Source organism: Homo sapiens, chromosome 20, assembly GCF_000001405.40.
Source record: "Homo sapiens chromosome 20, GRCh38.p14 Primary Assembly".
In the NCBI taxonomy this organism is placed as follows: Eukaryota; Metazoa; Chordata; class Mammalia; order Primates; family Hominidae; genus Homo; species Homo sapiens.
Genome location: NC_000020.11, coordinates 58767469 through 58775023, shown reverse-complemented (window position 1 = coordinate 58775023; position 7555 = coordinate 58767469). Strand labels below are relative to the sequence as shown.

Genomic DNA, 7555 nt, shown 5'->3' with positions numbered 1-7555 from the left:
GTGTAGGGGAAGAATCCATAGCATGGCTATGGCATTTTTTTTTTAAAGCCCACTAAGGATGATTTTAAAATCCACACATCATGCAGTAAGATGGATTTCAGCATTAAGCGGCCTCATCATGAAGAGCTGGCAGCCTAGCTGGGTGATGTCCTTGAAAGGGTGTGTTGGGTATGCATTGTGTTATAAAGTAATATCAAGCCAAGTAAATGAACTCATTATGATTGGCTTTTTATTCCCCACTTGTCAGGAGTCATAACTGTATGAAACATTCTCCACCTCGATCAATTGGAAAATCAATACCTTGGTATTTGTGGAAAGCATCTCTTATAGGAAGAAATGAAAAGAAATATTTGGGAAACATTCAGGAAATTAGCCCATCTGACCGTCCCTGTTTTAAAGCAGTCACTCTTCTTTGTAGGAGTTGGTGCTGAAACATGCTCTTTCTTTTGGAAGGGGGCAGGCTGGCTGGGATGGTAAATGGTTTTGATCATCCAAACCACAGTTTTCTTGAAGTGTTGATGATGGTGAGTCCAGGTGAATATTTCATTCGCTTGCCTCATGGGTGGCCCTGGCGAAATGAGGCTTCCATCCTGGGTAGCGATGGTTTGGGCTTGCTTGGCTTGGTGGAACCAGTTTGCCATCTTGGCCCTCAGGACTCTGGGGGTGACAGTGAGTAGGCATCAGATATTACACTGGCTTTGGAATCAGCTGCCAGAGCCCCTCACTGGCATGATCGTTGACATCATCGCTCCAGCACTTCTTGATGATGGGCTGATGAACACTTTGCAGTATTTCATCAACTATAGATTTTATAAGCTTGGCCTTGAGGTGATGTTCCTGCATAGGCCCCGCTTCCTGGATTGTTGATTGCTTTTTTTAAAAAAAATATGGAAAACAGGCCTGGCACAGTGGCTTACGCCTGTAATCCCAGCACTTTGGGAGGCTGAGGTGGGTGGATCACCAGGTCAGGAGTTCAAGACCAGCCTGACCAACATGGTGAAACCCTGTCTCTACTAAAAATAGAAAAAGAAAAAAAAAAAAAAAAAAAAACATAGCCGGGCATGGCAGCGTGTGCCTGCAATCCCAGCTACTCAAGAGGCTAAGGCAGGAGAAATGCTTGAACCTGGGAAACGGAGGTTGCAGTGAGCTGAGATCGCGCCATTGCACTCCAGCCTGGGTGACACAGCGAGACTCCATCTCGAATATATATACATATATATATGTATATATATGGAAAATATCAAACATATGCACAGTAGAGAGAATAGTACCATAAACCCCCATGTATCCCTCACCATCCTCAATAGTTGACCCCCCTCTGTCTCCCCTGCCCATGAGTTATTTTGGAGAAAATGCTAAACACCACGAATATTTCTGTGTATATCTCTAAAAGATGTGGGCTCTTCAAAAGACATAAACAATACAATTATCACAACGAATTATCAATTCCTCAGTATCAAATATCAAATCTGCCTCCAGGTTTTCTTGAATGGCTAATACCTTTAAAAGAAAATGTGTTCAATTCAGGATCCAAATCCAGTCTATGTTTTGTAAGTGGTTACTTGGTTGATATATCTTCTAAGTCTTAATCTACAGATACTCTCTCTATCCCTGCAATTTACCGGTTGAAGGAATCTGATCAGATGCTGTAGAATTTTTCATAGTCTACATTCTGCTGATTGCATCCCCATGGTTTCACTTAAAATGGCAATATTCAAGTTCTAGTGTGTCTTCTTTATTTATTGCCTGAAAGACTTCTATAAAGAGAAACTTCCCCTCATTAACTATCCAATTTCCCTGATACACAGTTCTTATGTTTTTTTTTTTTTAAAAAGCAAGATAAATGCTTGATTTTTCCCCTTTATTTACCAGTTTTTGGAATAGTGAGTTAGTTCCCTAGCATCCTTCCAAGATGCCCAGTGAGCTTTCAATGTTTCCATTCCTGGCAGCCATCCCACTGATGCCCGAATGGCCCTGTCTTTGACCAGTGGGAGTGCCTTGCCTTCACTGCCCGGGATCTCTTTAATGGGCTCTGCCCTTGACTTTTTTTTTCTGTTTAAATCTCAGACCCACTGAGAGCCCCTCGGGCCAGGATCCACCGCAGAGCATGACCCTGTCTCCTTATCATTGTGCGGTTGACAGATTCTGCTTTCTTTTCTCTCTCGACAGACCTTAACAAATTAGTCTTGTTATTTATCCAATTTCCTAATACCCCAAAGGGTTGTAATGAATTTCTGGCAATGGGGGTGCATCATAAAAGCGAAGAAAAGCACAAACAAATTAAAAAACCCAACTCCCCACCCTCCCCAAATCCCAACAGTCTTCCTGCCCCAGGGCCTGAGATTGCTATTCTGTCCTGTGGCATTTACTCACTGATGTTCATGGACGTTGTCTTGCACCTTTTTTTTTTTTTGAGACAGAGTCTCACTCTGTCGCCCAGGCTGGAGTGCAGTGGTGCGATCTCAGCTCACTGCAACCTCTCCCTCCCGGGTTCAAGTGATTCTCCTGCCTCAGCCTCCTGAGTAGCTGGGATTACAGGTGCCCACCACCACACCTGGCTCATTTTTTGTATTTTTACAAAAATACAAGATGGTTTCACCATCTTGGCCAGGAAGGTCTTGAACTCCTGACCTTGTTATCCACCCGTCTCAGCCTCCCAAAGTGCTGGGATTACAGGTGTGAGCCACCGCGCCCAGCGTGTCTTGCATCTTTCAGCCTGTGTTTCCGCTGTGCCTCGGGGCTGCCCTCAATGCCACAGGGCAGCACATGGATTTCTACTCCGCATCCGTGTCATCTGGTTGATTTACTTGCTGAATCTTCTGTGGAGAAAAGCAGTTGCTGAGGTCTGGCCAGATACTGTGGTTTTCTTGTCAGTCTCAGGATCTTTTAGCATTTTCCATTCCTGGGGCTGCCTCCTGCTTTCTGCAAAGGTAAGCCCAGCAATCTACGTGTCCACCTGACTCTTCAGGGGAAATGCTGAGTTTTGGTAAATACTGACTTTGCCCTAGACATGCTCGGTATCTTTGGGCAGGGGAGCTAGGGTTCCTGTGCCTCCGTTTCTTTTTAAAGGAGAATGGTTGCATTGAGGAAGAGGACCTCAGAAATAATTGGGCTTGATACCTGGGTCACCTTGTCCTGGAGAATAATTGACTGCTATGGGCACAGTTCAGGAATAGAGCCAAACCCACCGAGCCAACCCAGGCTTGCTTGAGAGGAAGAGTTGGCTCACCTCTGCCCTAAAATGCAAATAAAAAATGAAAAGAGCAGGAAATAGGAAGAACGATGCCCCCTTCCACTCGTGTACACTCTTAGCTTTCCAAGCATTTCACACTTTTTCCTTATAGCAGTCCTATTAGGTTAAACCAGACACCAGCACTCCCGTTGTACAGATGGGGAAGCTGAGGCTGCCAAGGAAAGGAGCACAGGCTGCACATCAGGGGCTGTGCTGGGGGTTTTGCTGCCTTGTAACTAGGGTCACACAGCTCTTGGTGGCAGAAGCCAAAGAAGGCCTGGGTCCGCAGACTTCGACTGGGTAGTCTTTTCCTGGGATGGTCTTATCTCAACACAGTAAAGATTCAAAAACTTACCCTGAGTCAAATTAACAACCTCTATTTTCATCTTAAGTCCTATCTCCCAGCACACACAGCTGTTCTGCTTAGGGCTTTTCCTAAGATCATCTCTACTGTCTGCATTAGGTTTCCTCACTGAATTTCTTTGGCTTTTCATTGCTCTCCTTTTCTTCCTCTTCCTCCTCCTTTTCCCACCACTTCTCTCTCTTTCCTCCTTCCACTCTACCCTCTATTCCCCTCTTCTATTCTTTCCAAGCCTCCTCTTTTTTCTTCTTTCTCTCTCTCTCTGTGATTTTCTCTGTTTCTTGTTTCTGGCTCGCTCTGTTACTCACCAGCTCTCCCTTCTCATTTTCTTTCTCTTGTTCTCTCCTCTTCTCCTTTTTTTGCCTTCTCTTTGTGGACAGTCACACTCTCCTACTTCCTACCTTCTCTCCTCTCACCCTCTTTTTCTCCCAGCTTGGTGCTGAAATCTTTAGCACTCCCCCTGCACGTGGTTTCTCTCATCCCTTACAGCCTTGCTCAGCCCCCGCCTCCCAATTCCCAACGTGGAGATGCCACCTGGGTTTGCCACCTGCAGATCACCCTATAGCAACCCCATTCAGTTAAATCAGACACCAACACTCCCATTGTACAAATGGGGAAGCTGAGGCTGACAAGGAAAGGAGCACGGGCTGCACCCCAGGTGTGCAACTGATCCCCAGTATGATGTGCAGGCTGGGCAGGTGTCTCCATGAAATACGCCACATATCGTGGGGTGGGCAGGATCATGGTTCCCCAGATGAGCCAGCTGTCAGGCTTTCTGAAGCAGTTTCTAGCATCCTTTCAACTTTGTAAAAGAGAGTTCGTCCCTTGACCCTGAAATTATCATCACCAACATCCTCATCATCATCATTCCATATAATTTGAAAGAAGCATTAACAGAACATAGACTCAATGGTCTTTAGAAAAATAATGAAGACAAGGCTAGGCACAGTGGCTCACGCCTATAATCCCAGCACTTTGGGAGGCCAAGGCAGGCAGATCACAAGGTCAGGAGATCAAGACCATCCTGGCTAACACGGTGAAATCCCGTCTCTACTAAAAAATACAAAAAGTTAGCTGGGTGTGGTAGCGGGCACCTGTAGTCCCAGCTACTCGGGAGGCTGAGGCAGGAGAATGGTGTGAACCGAGGAGGCAGAGCTTTCAGGGAGCCGAGATCGCGCCACTGCACTCCAGCCTGGGCGACAAAGCAAGACTCTGTCTCAAAAAAAAAAAAAAAAAAAAAAAAAAAAAAAAAAAAAAAAAAAAAAATCACTCCTTCCTTTGCAGAGAACCACTAGTACAGAAAGACACTCAAATCTCAGTAAGTGGTTGTATCTCCCAGATTTTTGCCAGGAAGCCGGATGCCAATTTGTTACTCTGTGAGTACCGAGGGTGTCTGAGTGCCTCTTCACATTGGGAACTTCAGATTGGGCAGGCAATTGAGAACTTAGGACATGCCAAGTGCCATCTCAGCTTCCCTTCTTTGCCAATCTTCTTTCCGATATTCTCCATTTCATCTTCTTGTAATCACCCACACAGTACTCAGGGAAGAAATATAGTTACCAGGTTCCAAGGTCTCCATCTAATTAAAAAATGTTTGTGTCGGAGAGAATTTTAATTCATAAGCATTATTCTGATGGGGTGAAGTGGGGAGGGGTACTTTCGATAGATGATTTAAAATCCAGATATTTAGTAAGATACTAAATAAAAAGTAGATGGCTGATTTGCAAATAAGATTTCCAAATGGCATCTCGAATAAAGACTTTCCAAAATATGGATTTGGGGAGATAGTGATTACCTATCCAAAGGTAAGCAGTCTCCTTTTAGGGTTTGCCCTTCTCAGTCAGCCTAGAAAATATCCATCTTCTTGAAAACAGATGGAGTTCTATAGGAGAAAATATAACTATGAATGGTAGAAATAGTCAAAAGTTTTCATTTCCTTCTCCCAGTTCTTGCCTTTTCCTTGCATTCTGTCACACGCAAAATCCGCTATTTATTTATTCATTCATTCATCAAATGCTGATAGATCCAAACTATGTGCCCGAGCACTGCCCTGAGCATGGAGACACGGCAGAGAGAAGATGGCAAAATCTCTGCTGGGTAGAGTTTGCGTTTCACCTGACCCAGGTCTTCAAGGGTTTGGAAGGGTAAAGAGAGCACCTGCCAGGGAACCCTAAACTCCACTGACGCTCCACATGGACGAGTGAGTCCTCTGCCTGCAGCTCTGGGGTCATACTCTGAGCTGAGTAAGGAGGCTCCAGGAGGTGCCTTCTGGAAACTCAAACCGCATCCTTGTGCTACCTCCTTTACCAAGGAGATGGTGACAAGGGAGGCAGCCAAGTGATGTGAAAGGATGAACTTGGTCCCTGAGCATATGGCCTTGCTAGTCCCGGGGGCCTTCCCTGCACTGTGGCCCCTTATGGTATGGCCACTGGGTGAGGTCCTCCTTTGTGTGCCCAAAACCGTGGGGCAGGGCAGCCATGGCCAGGGACCATGAGCCCTCCTTGCATCTTTACAGTTGAGTTTCTTCTTCTCCTGGTAGCCTCCCTGCAGTGGCAGGTGTTTGTAGATGCGAACAGAGTGTAGTGAGGATGCAGGCAGGTACATCGTGGGGATCAGCAGAGAGCTGAGGCCAGAAGACCTCGCCCAGCTCAGCCCTATTCCTAACTTTATTTTCTGCCGTAAGAGCTGATGTCCTGGTCTCAGGCCCTCTGTGGGTAGGCAGTCGTTGCTCCCTTTCAGCATGGTGAGCCCAAGAATTGCTGCTTTTGGAGAAGAAATCATGATAATTTTCTTTTTTAATTTTAAAAATATAAAATTGAAGTATAATTTATATACAGTGAAACATTCAGATCTTAAGTGTGATAGTCAACTTTGATGGAGACACATCAAGGCACAGATGATTTCCATCATCCCAGACATTTTCTTATCTCCTCTTCCTAGTTAATTCTTCTCCCAGGGATTATACCACATTTTGATGATCCACTCATGAGTTGATAAACATCGATTCTGTTTCTAGTTTTGAGCTAATATGCATAAACCTTTCACAAACATTTTTGCATAGGGTTTTTGTGGAAATATATCTGTTCCTCTGGATAAAAACCTAAGCATGGAGTCAATGGGTCATAGGGTGAATGCACCTTTACTTTAGTGTTTTAAGAAGCTGCCAAATTGTTTTTCAAAGAAGCCATGCCATCTTTTTTTTTTTTTGAGACAGAGTTTTGCTCTTATTGCCCAGGCTGGAGTGCAATGGCCTGATCTTGGCACACTGCAACCTCCACCTCCCGGGTTCAAGCAATTCTCCCGCTTCAGCCTCCCGAGTAGCTGGGATTACAGGCATGCACCACCATGCCAGGCTAATTTTTTGTATTTTTAGTAGAGACTAAATGTTGCTCAGGATGGTCTCGAACTTCTGACCTCAGGTGATCCGCCTGCCTTAGCCTCCAAAAGTGCTGGGATTACAGGCATGAGCCACCGCACCAACAACTTTCTGAATGTCTCCTCTCCAAGTCACATGTATGTGTTGACTGGGTCCTGGCATGGGCTCACCACGCATTCATGCAGTCAGCAATTTTATTGAGCATTTGTTATGTACTAAGCAGTGTTCAAGATCAATGGTGCAGAGAGTTCAGAAAAAATAGTCTTTTCAACTGATGCTGCTGGAACAATTGTATGTCCATAACCCAGCCACCCCACCAAAAAAAACCTAAAACACAAAATGCCTTAATCCAGATCTTACATCATATACAAAGATCAGCTCGAAATGGATTGTAGACCTAAATGTAAAACCCAGAACTATAAAACTTCTATAAAAATGGGAAAAGCTTTTCATGACCTTGGGTGGGGAGAATATTTCTTTTAATAGGACACAGAAAAATCATGTGCTATAACAGGAAAAAGTTGATTATCGATATTCATCCAAAAAACACAAAACATGTTTTTCAAAAGACACTATCAAGATCATG

General features: G+C 44.7%; 1 long non-coding RNA gene across 1 annotated transcript; it reads right to left on the bottom strand.

Annotated features, from left to right (window-relative positions):
* Nucleotides 1-212: 212 nt before the first annotated feature.
* LOC105372695 (uncharacterized) lies at nt 213-1599 on the bottom strand. The gene is made up of 2 exons (NR_134566.1): nt 1501-1599; nt 213-657 (listed from the first exon to the last, which is right to left on the bottom strand). It is a non-coding gene; the product is annotated as an uncharacterized LOC105372695 (long non-coding RNA).
* Nucleotides 1600-7555: the final 5956 nt, after the last annotated feature.